The 19,291-nt window shown below is 37.8% G+C and overlaps 1 protein-coding gene across 2 annotated transcripts in view; it reads left to right on the top strand.

Moving 5' to 3' along the window:
• The window catches only part of RNF144B (ring finger protein 144B), an 81,521-nt gene that overhangs the window by 39,322 nt on the left and 22,908 nt on the right, over positions 1–19,291 (top strand). The window contains exons 3-4 of one of the 2 annotated variants that reach the window (NM_182757.4): positions 910–1,014; positions 13,013–13,073. In NM_182757.4, the coding sequence (NP_877434.2) occupies positions 910–1,014; positions 13,013–13,073 (166 nt within the window). The remainder of the gene's footprint in view (positions 1–909; positions 1,015–13,012; positions 13,074–19,291) is intronic. The other variant, XM_047418594.1, reaches the window with a different exon arrangement.

The raw sequence follows: 19,291 nt of genomic DNA on the forward strand, positions 1-19,291 counted from the left end.
TCTCTGGTTTTCTTTTTTCTATTCAGTTTCTTCTGTGGGTTTCTTTTTCTATTCAATTTCTTCTCTGAGTTTCTTTTTTCTATTCAATGTCTTCTCTGGGTTTCATTTTTTCTATTCAATGTCTTCTCTGGGTTTCATTTTTTCTATTCAATTTCTTCTCTGGGTTTCTTTTTTCTATTCAATTTCTTCTCTGGGTTTATTTTTTTCTATTTAATTTCTTCTTTCCCCAGGGGACCAGTGCCTTTTTTCCTACTCCAACCTCCTTAACATGGCATCCACCAAGGCCCATATTTTTGAGGTCTCATTGTCTTTGGGATAATGTCTTTGGGACAATGTGTCTCTTGTCTTTGGGAAGCAAGTTATCTTTGCTGTCCCCAGTCAGCAGGAAGTCACCTGACTTTCCCAAATTTGACATTATCTTTTCCAGGTATGTTTGCTTTTAAGCGTGGTCCTAGAAATGTCACTGCCTTAAGCTTACTTTGATTGTGTGGCTAGCTCAGTGCAAGGGTCACAGCGTTCTGTTCTAGTTTTGGGTAAACTTTGATGGAGAGGACCACTAGGTAAAAATGGAATTAGGAACTCATATTTTTTTTTTTAAAGGAGGGGGCCTTTAGGGTTAGAAAATAGTGTTTTTTCTTTTCCTGATCTATGGTGGCTGAAATGTGTGAGCATAGGGAAATCTGACTTGAATAAACTCTTAAGATGAAGTCATACATAATTAATTGCCTGTCTCTGCATTCTTTCCAAAGTGATGGCTCTTAGTATTCACACTTGTGATAACTTATGTTTCTTGAGTACAAGAGCCTCAGGACAGCCAATTAAGGAAGAAGACACAGTGGTGGTTCTGTTATGTAACCTTTCTGCTACTGTAATGGAATGGGCAATTGTCTTTTTTTTCTTAACTTCCAGTGCCTGAAACAGTACATGCAGCTGGCAATCCGAGAAGGATGTGGGTCTCCCATCACTTGCCCTGACATGGTGTGCCTAAACCACGGGACCCTGCAGGAAGCTGAGGTATGAATGACTACCATCATCTTCCCCTCTTTCCTATTTATGTTATTTATTAGGATCTTGAGTCTTTATGTATTTCCCTACCAGGGAGTCTAGCAAGAAAATACAGAGGTTAACTTTTTAAAGGAGCACTTTATTGCAGCTTACCTTTGGACTTTTTATACAAACTGTTAAAGCTGTCATTTATCTCAGTTCTATTTACATATACCATCTTGAGTGTTGAAGAAGCTATAGAATAGGCAAAGTACCAGAAATCAAATTTACCAAATGTGAAGTTAGGAGGCTGATATGATTTGGCTCTGTGTCCCCACCCAAATCTCACCTTGAATTGTAATAATCCCCACGTGTCAAGGGTGGGACCAGGTGGAGATAATTGAATCATGGGGGCGGTTCCCCCATGCTGTTCTCGTGATAGTGCGTTCTCCTGAGAACTGATGGTTTTATAAGGGGCTTCCCTGCCCTTTGCTCAGCACTACTCCTTGCTGCGGCCATGTGAAGAAAGATGTGTTTGCTTTCTCTTCTACCATGATTGTAAGTTTTCTGAGACCTTCCCAGGTCTGCAGACCTGTGAGTCAATTAAATACCCAGTCTTGGGTATTTCTTCATAGCAGTGTGAGAATGGACACATACAGAGGCTGAATAGTGAATGGTCTTGTAAATTGTAATACCCTAAAGATAAATAGACCATGGATTAGCTGCAGTTATGGAAAATATAAACTATTGTGATTCCACAATGATAGCCTGAGTTGAACCATTTCCAAAGAGTAGAGACCTTTCAATTGATCTGTAGCAGGCATCTGAAATCTTTTTCTTTTTTTTTCATATCCCCTCGTTTGTTCAATCACCGGTTATTGGTTTGCCTTTAAATCTTCAGACTCTGCTCACTTTAAATTAGAATATAATGAACTCTTGTTTATTCTTAGGGTGTTTGTAAGCCTCTGAACGACATCCCAAGAAACAGATGAAATCAGTTGTTCATTTAGCAAACACAGAACACCTGCTTTGCACCAGGCACCACCACCCCCCAGTTGTTTTCATTGCCAGTATACTACCTAATCCTCTCAACAGACCTCATGAAATTGGGTGTTGCTTTCAGATAGGGAAACTGAGGCCCAGAAGGTTTAAGTAACTTACCCAAAACCACATATCTAGAAAGTAGAAGAGATAGGATTCTAATCCATTGCTTTCTGACTGCCATAATTACGTGGCTTTGAGTAGAATTAGGTTGGCCAGGTGCTGTGGCTCACACCTGTAATCCTGGCACTTTGGGAGGCCAAGGCAGAAGGATTGCTTGAGTTCAGGAGTTTGAGACCAGCCTGGGCAATATAGCAAGACCCCCATATCTACAAAAATAAAAATTAGAAAATTAGCCAGGCATAGTGGTGCATGCCTATAGTCCCAGCTACTCTGGAGGCTGAGGTGAGAGGATTGCTTGAGCCCTGAAGGTCAAGGCTCCAGTAAGCCTTGATCACATCACTGCACTCCAGCCTGGGCAATAGAGTGAGATTTCATCTCTTAAAAAAAATGGGAATGGGGGCATAGAACTAGGTAGGTAGATAGAATGTATGATAAAGGACTTAATAATTGGAAGCTCAATTTGTGTGTGTGTGCAGACACACATGTAGATGTGTGTGTGTGTATAGATATATATACTGTACATGCTTTGTTTATGAATATATATTCTTTTACATATATATCCTTTGCTTTGTAAGTGAAGCAGTCAGAAAGTTAGTATAGACAGTTTTTAACAATTTGTGTCTGGGCATCCTGTGTTCAATTTATTGATTAGTGGCTGAGTGCTACAAGTGAGATATAACGTTTTTTAGGGAAGTATAAAAGGAATATCTGTTTAGAAGTGATTTAAGAAAATCATGGAATAACTTTTTTGGTAAAAAGGTAATATCGAGTATGTAAACCCTGTGGAGAGATATATTATTGACTTTTGTAGGGTAAAAAGAGCTATAGTGGAGAGAAATTGGACTAGTTACTAAGAATATTGTTGATCTGTGTCACTTCAGAATTGTTTTTAAAATGAGTCTTGGGTATTTGGGTGTATCTTTCTATGCATAATCCTTCCAGGAAAGACACTTCCTTTTTGACTTGCTTCTCAGGTGTCTGATGGGTCAGCAAGTCTTAATAAAGACCACAGTGTGTGCCTGGCCCCATTCCAGGCTGGGCTGGAGAGGAGAATAAGAAAGGCCCGCTAGTGCTCTTCTTATGGAGCTTCTGGTCCAGCAGAGAGACAGTCAACTTATAACGAGTCAGATAATTATAAAAGTGAAATGCAAGAAGTGGGGCAGGCAACAGGAGCTGTGTCTGCTATGAAATCTTAGTGAATTCATGCACATAAAATCTATTAAACATAAGTGAATAGCTTGGTGAAATTTCAAAAAAAGTCCATGACATTTATCGGATTCCTGTATTCTAGACCTGTGCTGACTAATCCAGTAGCCACTAGCCACATGTGGCTATTTAAACCTAGACTGATTTAAATGAAATTAAAAATTTAGTTCAATCATGCTAGTCAGTAATTGCTGAGTGTTCAGCAGTCACATGTGGCTAATGGTTACCAGACCGGACAGCACAGAATAAAATACTTCCATCAGTGCAGAAAGTTCAAATGCATAGTGTTTTAGAATTTTCAGTAAATGGTAGCCACTAGGCACTGACATTTTGAGTATCTAATGTAAGGGGCCAGTGTGCCCAGGTAAGTGGATCAGGACAGGCTATAGTGTCTGTCTTGCAGTTCTCTAGAGCAGAGCTTAAGTAGTCTTCTCATTTTCTTTTTTTCTTGCTTCTTGCTTTCTCTCTCTCTCTCTCTCTCTTTTTTAAAACCTGGTTTTCCTCTGTTGCCCATGCTGGAGTACAGTGGTACAATCACAGCTCAACTTCCCAGGCTCAAGCGATCCTCCCACCTCAGCCTCCCAAGTAGCTGGGACTACAGATGTGCACCACCATGCCTGGCTAATTTTTAATTTTTTTTTTTTTTTAAAGAGAGGGTCTCTCTATGTTTTCCAGCCTGGGCTCAAGCAATCCTACTGCCTCAGCCTCCCAAAGTTCTGGGATTACAGGTGTGAACCACCACATCTGGCTTCATTTTCTTTGAATAGACATTTTCTCTTTGTATTTCCCCCCTCCTTTGTTCTCCTTATCCTTTCCCCACTCTATCCCTTCTCTGTCCTTCTGGTTCTCTTTATCCAGTTTTACTATAAAAGCATTTTACTTTTGTGCATTAAAACCAGACAAACCCATAATGAGTCTTAAAAATTACAAAAGGAGGCCAGGTGCAGTGGCTCACGCCTGTAATCCCAGCACTTTGGGAGGCTGAGGTGGGCGGATCATGAGGTCAGGAGATCGAGACCATCCGGGCTAACACAGTGAAACCCCTTTCTACTAAAAAGACAAAAAAATTAGCCAGGCATAGTGGTGGGCACCTGTAATCCCAGCAGGGCTTACACAGCCTAACCCAGGAGGTGGAGGTTGCAGAGAGCTGAGATTGCACTACTGCACTCCAGCCTGGGTGACACAGCGAGACTCCATCTCAAAAAAAAATAAAAAATAAAAAAAAAAGAATCAAATGTTCTCTATCAACTTGCTACTGTCTTTTTCAGTGATAAAAATACGTGGTAGTGGTAATTGATAATCATTTTGAGTTGAAAATGGAATAGAAGATTATATTGGAGATATGGGTAGCTGCATCAGTTTACATAGGCCTCCTCCTTTGAAAGTAAATACCACACACATGAATTGGACTGTACCACCTTCATTTCTAACTTGCTTTAGATCAAGATTTTATTGCATACAGTTATAACATGTGGCTTATAATCTATATATTACTGAGTATACCACAATGGGGTTCATTCACATATGCTTGACTAGGTTCTATCTCAATGACTACTACTTCCTTCTGCCTTTTAAAAAATGCTTAATTACACAGGTAACACATAAATATACTTTGCTTGTTAAAAATAATTCTGATTAAGCCTGGTTCTCTTTGTCTTGCTGCTATTTATATTACAACACGTGATTCTTCATTCTTCTCTGTCTTACCAAATGCATTTAAGTCTAACATTTCTTCATCTTCAAAGGATGGCAGGAATGTAAGCTCTTTCCTCTGAGTGCTTCCTTGTGCAGGTCTAGCTTACAGAGTTGGCTGTGCTCCATGTACCTGCCTTCTTGATTTTTCCAAATTGGCTCAGCTGTGATTATGCCTCCTAAATTTTATCTATGAAGAGTAGCCTCCTTAGTGACGCACTTAATGCCCAGTTCAAGTACAATTGAACCTCAGTGTCCATGGGTTCTGCATTTGGGGATTCAACTGCCCATGGAGAATACTCAGAAAAAATATTTTTACTGAACACGTGCAGACTTTCCTTGTCATTATTCCCTAAACAATATAGTATAATGAGTTACCTAGCATTTGCATTGTATTAGGTATTATAAGTAATCTAAAAATGATTTGAACTATACAGGAGAGAGGATGTGCATAAGTTATATTTTAGTACTACCCCATTTTATATCAGAGACTTAAGCATCTGAAGATTTTGGTATCTGCGGGAGGTCCTGGAACCAGTGCCCTTCAGATACTGAGGGATGACTCTACTGTTCCCTTGTATAGGAAATGGTAGAAAACGGCAGCTTCCCTTTCAGTGTCATGGAAGCTGGTGAGAGACAGTGACTCAGGAGGACTTGTGGCTAGAGGTGAACACACTAGGAGCCAGGGAAAAGTAAAACTTTCCTCTATTGCATCATCTGGTACTTTTAGCTTTTGCTCTGCAGAGCTTTTCCAATGTACTTGATCTTGTAATCATGTCCAACATGAAATTATGAGAGGCAGGACACAGATTGTTTATTCCAATAGCATTACTTCAGGCGAAGCCCTTGCTTGAAGTTAGTAGCCCTGTTAAAAAAGGTGATGTCTAATTTAAGCAGTTCCCATGTAGTGTTATTGAAGTAGCATCCATCACTTCCTGGGAAAGTTTGAACCATTTGTCTGGCCTGTGCGAATTTTGAGTGGTGAGTGCATATTCCTATTTGAATAGTACCTGCCATTACATGGCCTGAGAGTTTTAACTTCTTCCAATTGCTAGGTGTCAGTGGAGGGCAGGGAAGAGCTTCTCACTCACTAATCTTCTTTCTAAGCCCTGGAGCACTGAAATGACCAGCCTGCCTTTTACTGCTAGTGCCGCAGTGTGCACCAGAGAAAGGGTGGGTGCAGCTGAATGGAGGCTTCAGAATTTCTGTAAGAAGGGAGTTAGGGCAGGGCATTCTGGAGACCTGGGGTGGAGGTATGGTGGAGGAGGGATCGAGTACTGGGGAATTTGAAGCTATGTTTGCAAAATAAATACAGTTTTTACTCAGATTGCATATTTAGTTGGGTGGCTTTGGGAAAGTTGGCTACAGTGATAGGGAATCCAGGTGTTCTTCCCAAATCCTCTGCCTCCACTTGCCATCTCTTAACATTCTTCCTTCCCATTATCATGGTGGGAAGCTAGGGCAAAGGAAGGGTGAGAATGCCCAGGCAAGAGGCCATATTCCTGTTACTGTGGTGTAAGGATCTGAATGGGAAGGGATGAGTGTGTCTGTAATAACCTTTGGCTGCAATACGTGTTGGCTGGAGAAAAGTAAACCTTTGAGATGGTGGGGTTAGAGGAATCCGCCAAGCCAGAGTTAATAGATATTTTTGAGTTTCCTGGCTGAATCACATTTTAGAAAGTAGTTAAAACTTTGTTTTAAAATGTACTTAAAACTGTATAAGTGGGTAATAAGGTTTCTAAGAAAATTCTTTAACTAATGGCACATAGAAAACTAAGCCACAGTGAGTTGAATGTGTCACATGAGTGTATGGATATGTCCCTTTTTACTTATGACTGAGTGGAGGGAGAAAAGACGGGATGATATATGGAAAGATGATCTTGGTTAGATAATGTACAGAGACTTCTATAGCACATGTGAAACAAAGACCAGTGAAAGCTGCCCTCTACAGTGGACTGCGAAGATCAGTGGCCCTGGAATTCCATTTCTTGCCTTCTGCCTCTCAGACAGTGATGCCCACATATGGTTTCCAATCAGGATTTTTAATCTAGTATTCAGGTGAGAGACTTCAGCTTGTTAGTTTCACTCAGGTGAATGGGTGAATGTGCTGTTTTTCTCCTCTGTTAGGAAGAGCAGCTCTCGTTCTCTGCGTTGTGAAAACATTTTTAGTTCCTATGTTAATGTGATTAGACATTGATCCGCACAGTGAGTGTTATTTCCCCTGCCCTGGATTTTGCAAGTCATAGCATCCCCCAAATTGCCCAAACCTTGACAGGTTGTAATGATCCACTTACTAGTGGTCAATTCCATCTCCAGATGTTCTGATATGTTTTATTATTTGTTCAGCCTGTTTAATTTTTAAAGCAACTGTAGCAGAAGCATGATTTGAAGGACCAAACCTAAGTAAAGTCTGGGCGCTTTTTCCTTCTGTTTGGGCTTTCCGGACTCTGATGGGTAGCAGTTCTCTAAAGCCTATCCCCAATTTCTGTTTCATTTTTTTAATTGAGTCTTTTTTTCTTAACTAAAAAGCAATATACATTGTATTTATTAACACTTCATATGGGAACACACACCACTTTTGGCATAAATACTTTTGTGGTGAGCAGGCTTCACTTTCTGCCTCCCTTTTTTGCTTTGTTTTTTTCTGAGAGGGGGTAAGGTCAGTGTTAGTGTAGATGGTGATGCTTGTTTAAATATTATGATCGTGGTTAATACTGATTAACAGGTGTGCCTCACTTTTCATTTCTTCTTGGTTGTGGACGTTAGAGAGATTAAATCACAGTTGTGTGTAACAGTTACAGCACTCCCGTGTGTAGGTGTGGTCTGGCTTCCCTGGATATGCTCTGCTAGGGATGAAATGGAAAAGCAAAGACATTCAGCTGAGTAGGAACTGAGTGTTTTTGTTTTGTTTGTTTGTTTTTTTAGACAGAGTCTTGCTCTGTCGCCCAGGCTGGAATGCAGTGGTGCGATCTCGGCTCACTGCAAGCTCCGCCTCCCAGGTTCATGCCATTCTGCTGCCTCAGCCTCCTGAGTAGCTGGGACTACAGGCGCCTGCTACCACGCCCAGCTAATTTTTTGTATTTTTAGTAGAGATGGGGTTTCACCTTGTTAGCCAGGATGGTCTCAATCTCCTGACCTCGTGATCCACCTGCCTCGGCCTCCCAAAGTGCTAGGATTACAGGCGTAAGCCACCTTGCCTGGCCAGAATTGAGTATTTAATAAGGATCATAAGGTTCATTTTTATCAGAAATGAAACAAAACAAAATAGTGATTGTGGACAATTAGTAGCTTTTGTTGTCATTATTCTGATATTATTGCTCTTATTCTATTAACATGAAACTGAATTTATTTTATCTTTGAATTAAAGTTTGGGTGTTTTCCCCCACCTTTGGAAAGAGTTTCTAGAATGATCATGAGGACCAAAAGTTGTCTTTTGTGCTTGGATAGGAGAGAGAAATTTCTGTTTAACAATAAATAAATTAGCACAGCTTTCAAAGAAGAAGTAGCAAAAATTAACTTTAAATTAAAGACCATTAAGTAGTTGATCTCAGGGTAGTGGTCTCTTGATAGCTGAGAATATACCTAGGGAGCTTTGCTTTTACTGCTCGAATATGGATTTGGTTAGTAATGAATTAGAAGCCACTGAATAAAATAAATGTCTGCAGTCTATGCTGACTGAAATTTAAAAAATGAATAAATAGAGAAGGGACAGCTTTTTCTTACAGTGGAATTTTAATCACCAAGTACAAAATGAATGATAGAAATAGAAAAATCACTAAGCAAATATTACAGTAATAATTATTTTTGGCAAGAATTGTCAGTGGATACAAAAATTAGTGGGCAAAGTTTGATTAGAAACAGGATTTTGCGTAGTTTCAGAATATCTCCCTACAAGGTAATTGTTAATTCCAAATGATAGAGAAGCTGGCAGATACCACCTTAACCACATTAAAAAGTTAACATACTATGCAGCCATAAAAAATGATGAGTTCATGTCCTTTGTAGGGACATGGATGAAGCTGGAAACCATCATTCTCAGCAAACTATCGCAAGGACAAAAAACCAAACACCACATGTTCTCACTCATAGGTGGGAATTGAACAATGAGAACACATGGACCCAGGAAAGGGAACATCACACACCAGGGACTGTTGTGGGGTTGGGGGAGGGGGGAGGGATAGCATTAGGAGATATACCTAATGCTAAATGACGAGTTAATGGATGCAGCACACCAACATGGCACATGTATACATATGTAACAAACCTGCACGTTGTGCACATGTACCCTAAAACTTAAAGTATAATAATAATAATAATAAAACCCACCTCAAATCACACACTAAAAAAAAAAAAAGTTAACATCATCAATAATGAGACATGTTGTCCTCATGTAGCTCCTGATGGCCCCAAGGACACGTCTGTGATATTCTTGCCAAAAATTCATAACCTGAATCTAATCATGAGAAAGCATCAGACAAATCCAAATTAGGGGAACACTGTACAAATAACTGGCCTGGACTCTTCAAACTCATCAAAGTCACAAAAGGCAAAGATAAATTGAAGAACTGTCCCAGATTGGAACGTCAAGGAGATACCACAGCTAGGTACAAGTTGGTTACCTGGATTGGATCTTAGACTGAAAAAAAGACCTTAGTGGAACAATTAGTGAGATTTGAATAAGGCCCGAAGATGCTTTAATTCTATTGTATCGAAATATAAATGTCATTATTTCAATACTATGATTATCATTAGGGGAAGTTGGAATGGCATTTAGCAACTAAATTTAGAAAGTGTTATTAGGGGAAGTTGGGGGAATGGCATTTGGTAACTCTCTATACAAGTTTTGCAACTTTTTATATAATGGTCTGGTGTGATTTTGAATGATTTGGAAATTCTCGGTTGGCAGAAAGAAGATAAATGCATACCACAAGATACCTCTTCATAATCTCTTTTATTCTCTAGGATTGTCAGGTGTAGCAGTCAATTTTACAGTACTTGTGAATATCCTCAAAAAATTGATTGTAGCCCTTTTACCTGCAGCCTGATTTAGTCTTCTAATAATCATCCTAACACAAGTATTAATATTTCAATTTTACAGTTGTAAAAATGGAGGTCTTGAGCAATAGTGACTTAGCTCCAAATGACAGTGGAACCAGGAATTTAACCTTTTGTATCATTTGTTGTTGTGTTTTTTTTTTGTACAGCTCTCATCTAAAGCCAAAAATATAATAGAAATATTTCAGAAAATTAGTTCTAATCTGCAAAATCCAACAGACAACATCAAGGGGTAGATCTTTTGTAAATCTTATGTTTATTGCTTTCTAAGTAATTTCAGCCTCTTGAGTGTAGCTTCTGTATGTCCTGTCTCATTGTATGCTAGGCTTCCAGACCAAAGCTTTACTCATGGTAAGCTGTCAACAAATATTTAGAAAAAATGTGACTGGGTGCAACTGGCTCATGTCTGTAATCCCAGCACTTTGGGAAGCCAAGACAGGAAGATCACTGGAAGCTGGGGGTTTGAGAGCAGCCTGGGCAACATAGCGAGACCCCATCTTTACAGAAAATTAAGAAATTAGCCAGTTATGATGGTGCATGCCTGTAGTCTCAGCTACTTGAGAGGCTGAGGAGGGAGGATTGCTTGAGCCCGGGAGTTTAAGGCTACCTGAGCTATGATTGTACCACTGCACTCCAGCCTGGGTTGACAAAGTGAGACCTCATCTCTTAAAAAAACAGTAATACAAAAGATGCAAGTCTAAATGAGGGGAACTAGGGAAGAGAATGGTGCATTCTATGGGTGTCTTCATTCCAAAAGGACCAAATAGAATGAGAAGCAAAGTAATTAACTTCTTGTAATCACAGCTTTCAATTAAAAAATTGATTTACCTTAGTAAGTCTTCGTTCCATACAAACCTTTGACTTAAATGAGAAATCCAAAGTACCATAAAAGACAAAAAAATTAGAAATCTATGACTTCCCTGTTGGCAGTAGTATGTACTCCAATGAAATTTATTTTTCTAATTTAAAATTAAACATCCATCTCTACAGTTGTTTACTTTTTACTGCATTAATTTCTGTCATTTTTCACATTAACATTTCATCTGTATCTAAAACATCTTCCGTTTGCCTTGTCTTCCATAAACTGTATTTGACATTTATATAAATTGCTCATCATTGAAAAAGAATCAGAATTTTTAGGGGTTGACTTTGAAGGATTTAAAAGGAGGTCATCAGTCCACAAACTATTTTAGATGAGGGTGAGTGGGGTACAAGACTGTCTTCTGGAATCAAAGAAGGTGGTGGTTAAAAAAAGATTCATAGAATATTATTGAGGTCTCTTGGGCCCAGATGGTATCACCCCCCAAGTCATGTTGGTCCAGAAGCTGACGTAGCATTTGTTTGTCCTCCACCCATGATGAATTAGCGACAAAGTCAGGAACTGAACTCTGGTTCCTAAATGCCTCCTATCACTTCATTTGCTTGTACCTTCTGTCTCCAACTCTGAATTTTATTTGAGACATCTTTGTCTTTCAGGAAAGATGTCTGGGTAGCATTATAACAGATGAATAAAGTTGACTTTCAGTGTAATAAAAGTCCAACCACACTGTTGAAAGAACTATGGTAAAATACATATAACATGATATTGCGCATAATTTTTTTTGTAAAGATTGCTAAGGAGCTTTAAGGTACCAGATGAAAATGCAACATTTTCTCCCCAACTGGAGAAAGAAAATTTGGATAAAAATGTTTTTATAATTAAAGTTATGTTTTACCACACTTTACTTGGAATGAGGAAGACCAAACTTGTTTTGTGGTCCTTTATACATTTTAGCTAATTTAGATTCATTTGCGAAATAAACAACTTGAGATTATTTATAAGGGAAAGGATTAGATTTTGAATGCATTATAAAAGGTATAATATTTGTTAAATACAATTTTAGCTGCATCATTTTCTTACTCCAGTTTTCTCAAAGCAGATGTCCTTTCCTTAGTTGCAAGAACGTCAATGTAGGTGTGTTTTGTGCCAAAAAAAGGTGATAGTTTAGAGTTGGAGTTGTCAGGGCTAAAACTCTGTCCTGTATGAACTTACTGGATGTCTGGAAGGCTAATATCAAATGTGATTTGATTTGATTTATATATGATTTATATATGAGAAAATCTTTATTTTCTCATATATAAATCTTTAAGTTATGTCAATATATTTACATTTGACATCAATGGAATTAAAATGTTTAGAATGCTGGTTTAAGAGCAGTTAGCTTTTCCTGCATCTGCCTTTAAAAATAACTAATTTGAAATGTCATTCAGTTAAGTGTGAATTGTTGTTGTTTACTAGTAAACCTTTGGTTTATGTTGCCATCTGAAATGGAAATAGGAGTCTAGTTGCAAGAAATATTTTAGGCATTTCTTTTCTACCAGAGTCTGAGATGTCAATGTCCCATAACCGAGGGCTCTAGGAAGTGACTCTTGTCAGAAGACATGATTTTTATATTGTTTAAAAGGTACTCTTTCCTAGGTGACAAATGACATTTGCATAATTCCTGAGATGCTGTCTACCTGACTTTAGTTTTTCAGGATTCCAAAGCTAGAACTTTAATTTCAAAAAATTCTTAAATGAAGATATAGAGAAAGGAAGCATCTTTAATACAGGAATATGAATAATTTTAGAAGTCCCTGTAATAAAATTTTGTTGTCTGGTCTTGGTAGCCACTGACTGAAGGTAGAAGGTGATCAATGAGTTTTGTAACTGCTCCCTTCAGCAGTGATTCTCAGCTATGGTGGTGGAGTGGGGATGACTTGAAAATTGTTGCATGTGTTTTACTACATGAACAGTGTGGAGAAAAAGAGGTTTGCAAACAATTGGTGTAGAGAAAGTATAATAAGCAAAGCCAGAAAGAGAAATCAAAAGGCTGGTAACTCAGGGCACTATGATGACTGAAGTCTCAACCTTTTATGTCTCTGGTTTCAGATTGCCTGTTTGGTACCTGTGGACCAGTTTCAACTTTATCAGAGGTTAAAATTTGAAAGAGGTATGAACTCTTCTTTTTTTCCTGATGATGAATGTGGTTTTACATGTGTCATTTTTACACTAACCCACATGGAAGATAAAGGCAGCTATGGGCTGTCAACAAAGCCTCAAGGGTACTCTAAAAGGAGAATACTGTAATTGCAACATAAAATTTCAAGCCTCTAAGCTACCACCAGAAAAAAATGCAGACTAGCAGGAAACAGAACTTTCCTTATGTTGTTTGTTTTGTATTTTTAATTTGGCTCATGTAAGAAAGGTTTTGCAAAATTTAGATGGCTTTATAATCACAATAATACAAAAGAAAGTGACCCTCGAAATGGGTTTTACCACTAATTTTCGATTCTTGAAGATCACTTCGAAACATTACCAGCCCAAACATTTTTACTGCTCCTCAGAATACATAACACCTGTTTTTTTGATACTACTTTTGTAATCATGGTAATAACAGAGTATGGATATGTATCATTCTTGTGCAATTTACAATGTATTGGACTGATTTTCTTTCTGACTTTGGGCTTGGGGTAACATATAGCTTTTCTATTTAGCTATAAGAATTATATTTTTACTTCATTTGGCTTTTGACAGGTCTTTTTTAGGAGACCTTTCCCTCTTGTCATACCCTAATCTATTTTTGAGGTAAATGGACTATTTCTTAGTATCTCAGAAGTAGGAAAAAATTGTTTCTCCCAGAAGTTATTGGACTGGTCTAGTCTCATTGAGTATATTAAACTTGAATCTAGCCTGAACATAAAGTTTTCTGATTGCTAACTTTTAAATATGTATTCATAAAGTCTAGAGGTGAGGGTGGGGGGAAAATGAATATTTATTTGTCATGTGCCAATAAGTTTGGTCAGTACAATTATCTTTATCTCATTTAATTTTTACAACTACCCTGAAAAATAATTCTTACAGGAAAAAAGAAAAAAAACGTACAGAGCATGAAGAGGGGTAGAGTAGGAATGCTTGTTGGGGATACATAGGTTAATAGCAACCTTAGATCTAGATCTGGCTTGGTCTTATAGGAGAATAACACTGACTTTGTTTTTGTGGTGTTTTTTTTTTTTTTAAAAATCCAGCAGCCAAAACCAGATTTATCTCATGGGTGGATTACTTAACTCATAAGGCTGATATATTAAGCTAAATATACCAAAAAAAAAAATCTTGGATTAGGTTATTTGAATTCCAAATGGTGGGTACGTTTTTGCTCTATATCCAGATGTGAAGTAGGAAATAGTTTATAATGTTGAACATGGAATCAGAACCAGGGAGTCAGAAGGATTTTTGGTTTAATGGATGATGACATAATCTGATGCTTCTGTTCTGTGATAAGTTAATGATGGGGGTAGTTAATATTGACTCTCTCTAATCCATCCACATGGGCCGATTAGATTGAGCATTATAACACCAGATATGATAGCTAAAGATAAGAGCATCAACCATCTGCCCTGCCATTTTCCCACTTTATCCCAACATCCTCCACTATAAAAATCAATTATAATTAGAACATGGACATTCCCAGTATTCACCCTGTGGATGCCTGGCTGGTAGCAAGTACCATGATTTGAGTGCTTTTACCTGGAGAAAGCCTACAGAGTTAGGTTGGATTTTCAGGCTGCTGCTTAAATGGTGAGATATGACATATCAACCACGTCAGTCCTACTCAGTCACTGGAGCTCAGTCTATTTACAGTATTCTCATGCCTCCATCAGCACTTCTCCTCTCCCATGACTGCCTGTTACTTCCCTGGCTAACTTCACTGCCCCATATGTCAGCAACAGGCCTTGTTCCTAATTGTTTACATTTTAGGTAACATATCTGTTAGCTCAAATGTCTTTTTTGTAATTAGAATATTCTAATATTACCAGGAATTACAACTTTCTGTGGGTTGTTTCTCACTGATGAATATAAAGTTTTGGTTTATTTTAAAATCGTAGCTAAGACCCTGAGTGCAATTGCAGGCTCCACCACTGGTAAGCTGTGTGACCATGGCAAGGTCCTTAATATTTCTGCATCTCAACTTCCTCATCTGTGAAATGGGGATAACAAGTATCTCTGTACCACAGGGTTGTGATGAGGATTATGTGAATTAATACTTGTAAAGCACTTCCTGTGAGTGCTTCCTGTGTCTCAGTGTTCAAAATTTTAACAGTTGGCAATAAAAATAACTTAAAAGTAGCACGTTTTAAATTAAATTATTCTCAATGTTCTTCTCCTGTACACTTTTTTCCCAAAGAGGTAATCATACCGTTCTTCAGGAAATATCATCATACTGAAGTAGATATTATTGATTGTCTTGTTGTCAGTGGGATTAGAACACTTGAAGTTAATTGGCAACATCCATCGTTATGTGGGGCAAGGTAGATGTGGAAAATCATTGGCTAAGATTTCCACTCTTTCCCCAGATAGTGGTTGGCTTTTTGACTTTTCAGTAGTATTCAAACCTGCTTGTAACTGGCTTATTCTTTCATTAGACGTGATAATATATTCAGTCTAGCTACAATTAAGTTGGGCAGGCATCTGAGCCAGTCTATCTTTTTTAGGTGGTGATGCATATTTCTACTTTGCTCTGTTACAAATTGATGAAATAGTTTTATTCATACATGGAATTTATTTTTTTCTCACGAGTTCTGGGCAGATGCCCCACTGTGGATCCCATGCATTAACAATTCATGTTGTTATTCTTATTTTATAGATGAAGAAACTGAAAACAGGACAGATTGAGACTTGCCTAGGACCACATAGACTGTGGCTAACCTTCCTTATCTATACAAATGTTAAAATTCTATACTTTTCTTTTTGTTATTAAACATATACCTAACATAAAAGTTGCCATTTAAACCATTTTTAGATGTGCAATTCAGTGACATTAATTACATTCATACAGTTGTGCAGCCATCACCACTGCTTCTAAAGCTCTTTCATGATCCCAAATTCTGTAGCCATTAACCAATAAGTCCTTATTCCTCCTCCCTGAAACCCCTAGTAACCTCTAATCCACTTTCTCTTATTTGCCTAGCCTAGATATTTCATATGAGTGGAATCATACAATATCTGTCCTTTTGTGTTTGTCTTATTTTACTTAATATATGTTTTTCAAAGTTCCATTCCTGTAGTAGCAGGTATAAGAATTTCATTTTTTAAGGCTGAATAACCTATTGTATGTTTTTAACGTCATTTTGTTTATTCATCTGTTGATGGACATTTCAGTTGTTTCCACCTTTTGGCTACTGTAAGTAATGCTGCTGTGAACACTGGGGTATAATCTGAGTTTCTGCTTTCAGTATTTTTGGGTAAAGTAACTAGAATTGGGATTACGGGATCATGTGGTAATTTTACATTTAGTTTTTGAGGAACTGCCAAATTGTAAAACCCTATAATTTAAATATAAATTTAATAGACATCTTACTGTCATAAAGTATTGCAGTGTATTAAATTTAGTGGCCTTTTGATTTAACCTCCTCATTTTATGAAAAACGTAACAGGCCCAGAGGCAATTTCCTCTTAAGTGATTTTGTTTTTGTTTTGTTTATTTTTTTTGAGATGGAGTCTCATTCTGTTGCCCAGGCTGGATTGCAGTGGCACGAACTCTGCCCACTGCAACTTCCGCCTCCTGGGTTCAAGCGATTCTCCTGCCTCAGCCTCCCGAGTAGATGGGATTACAGGTGCCTGCCACCACACTTGGCTAATTTCATATTTTAGTAGAGATGGGGTTTCGACATGTTGGTCAGGCTGGTCTCGAAGTCCTAACCTCAAGTGATCCACCCACCTCGGCCTCCCAAAGTTCTGGGATTACAGGTGTGAGCTACCGTGCCCGGCCTCTTAGGTGATTTTGGAAGGCAATTTGTAATCGTGTAATTCTTCATTACCATCCGTTATAATTATTATTGGAAAATGGACATTTCAAATAAGAGTAAATTTAAGTTAATGAAGTGCTACATAATGGAATTTACATGATTGGGATACACTTTATCTAATTCTGTCTAAACTTTATCTAAATTATGTAAAATAGACTTCTTATCTACCTCAAACTCGAGACCTTCATCAGCTAGGTGACTTTGAGACTATGTTGTGAATATATATTTGATGTGAAACCATTTATAAGGGGACTTTGGGGTGCATTAAATACCCACTAATACTGTAAATGAGTTAAATGACTAACCAACTGAAAGAAAATCTCATTGGCTGGACTGTGAGACAGAATTGTAGAGATTGCTGCTGCTCTGGAAAAACGTAGAATCAGAGTAGATGCAGTACTATTTCTTAGTTATAAAAAATCATCCTTAGTTTTTTCCAATTCTTAGTGCCTGCCAAGTTCTTTTAGTCTTTAGCTTGTTGTTCAGTGTGTGAATTGTCCTCTGCTTTGTGTTACGTATTTGCTCAGCTTGTCCTTTATGTCTTTAAGTCTGACGGAAAATATTTTGAATAGGATTGCACAAAAATCATCCTCCTGCTTACACGAAGCAAAGAAATACTATCTGATATTGGTTGGTTATTCTACCCGCTTTCCACCCATCTGTGACTTTTTGTCTGGCTGCCACTATGTTTCTGGCTTTCTCTTTCTGCATCAGCTTTCCAATATTAACAAGGAAAAGGGAATGCTAAGTTTGGCATGGATTAATGATCACTGCTTTACTTTCCAGTGGTTCTCAAAGTACATGCCCGATGATTAATGCAAGAATTTTTCTTGCCTCTTGTTTCCAGAGTCTACTTTTTCAAAATAGTTTTTTTTTGAAAATTGGGTTAAGATGATCCATCTTGAGTTCTTACGCACTTTTCCTTTTTTTGTGACCCTGTTTGACTTTCTGTAACTGCAAGTTGCTTCCGTTCCTTGCTAGGTTGATGTATCTGTTCTTGAATATTTATTTATATTACCATATAGCAGTTTAAGAACTCTTACAGAAGGGTTGTGTCATATTGTTCTCCTTCATTTAAAAAAAAGTGAAATAGGAAGTTGTCTTTCTTTTGCTGTCTGTTAATATTACTGACTTCACTCCTGTATTAAGTATGTGCTTATTTATGTATTGCGTGTCTATCCTATGCCAGGTGCCATTCCAATGCTTCTTCAAGCTGTGGTTCCATCTTTCTTTGAAAGCCCTTTTGTTCTCAGCATTCTCCTCAAGCCTCCTTTCATTTCATGTCTTCACATTTATGATATTACTCTAGTTTCACCTTGCTCTTTTATTTGTCCTTGGTGAAATGCTTCCACCCCAGCTTTTGTATCTGATCATAAAGGTTTTATTCCATCAGAGCTCCCTATGTAGTTATGTAGTTTCTTTTAGTGTTTTTTTCCCTCTTTGTAGACTGTGTGATGCTTAAGTACTTTATTGTCTGCTCAGTTTGATTTTTTTAACACCTCCCATCTCTCATTAGTCTACTGAAACAGTTTTATTTATTACAGCTGATAGTTAACTCAAGTGCATGGTGTTTCCCACAATAATAAAAGTTCGTTTGATGTCTTTTTTGGCACAATGGTGGAGAATGGCAGAAAAACCACTCCTGCTAGGACAGAGAATATACAACAGAATCAAAAGCAAACTCAGCATATGTAATGCTGATGGTGCCAGTTGGGAAAACCAAGGGTTTTAAATTGAGATTTTGAAATCTGAAGGCAATCATTAAGGTCAGATGTGGTCTTTAGGTCTCATGGCAGTTTTATTTCCCAGAATGTTTCTGTTTCCCAGTAATAGTCAGAATACAGAAGTAGAAAATAGTTTTAAATAGCATTTCTTGCCTCGCATAATTTACATGAACATGCAGAGTCTCAAGATCACATAGCTGTGGGGCTTTGCTTCAGTAATCAATTCTACTTTTTGTAAGTAAATTGCAGTTTAAGTCTTTGAATTTGTCTATCTCTGATGTAAATATGTCAGAGTTAACCACTTCTAAATCATGTATAGTAATATAAAATTTTGAAGGCACTATTATTTAGGGGCTGACTTACAGGGCCCTGGTTTCTCTTTTACTAGATTTCTGAACTTTTTCCCATCTCAAAGCTACATAATGTTTTCATCACTGCTGATGCAGAAGTAATTAGTTGACTAGGCATCAGTTCACTTTCTTCCAACATTGGAATAGAAATTTGAAGGGAGGGCAACCGGACCTTAAACTTCTGGATAATTGTGCATTTTGTATATCTGTATTATAACTGTGTTTCCTAGGCCAAAAGCCAGGAGGTAGAATTGAATTTACAATAAAAATAATAAAAGGTGTTGAAAAAAA

Source organism: Homo sapiens, chromosome 6 (assembly GCF_000001405.40).
Source record: "Homo sapiens chromosome 6, GRCh38.p14 Primary Assembly".
NCBI classification, from domain to species: domain Eukaryota; kingdom Metazoa; phylum Chordata; class Mammalia; order Primates; family Hominidae; genus Homo; species Homo sapiens.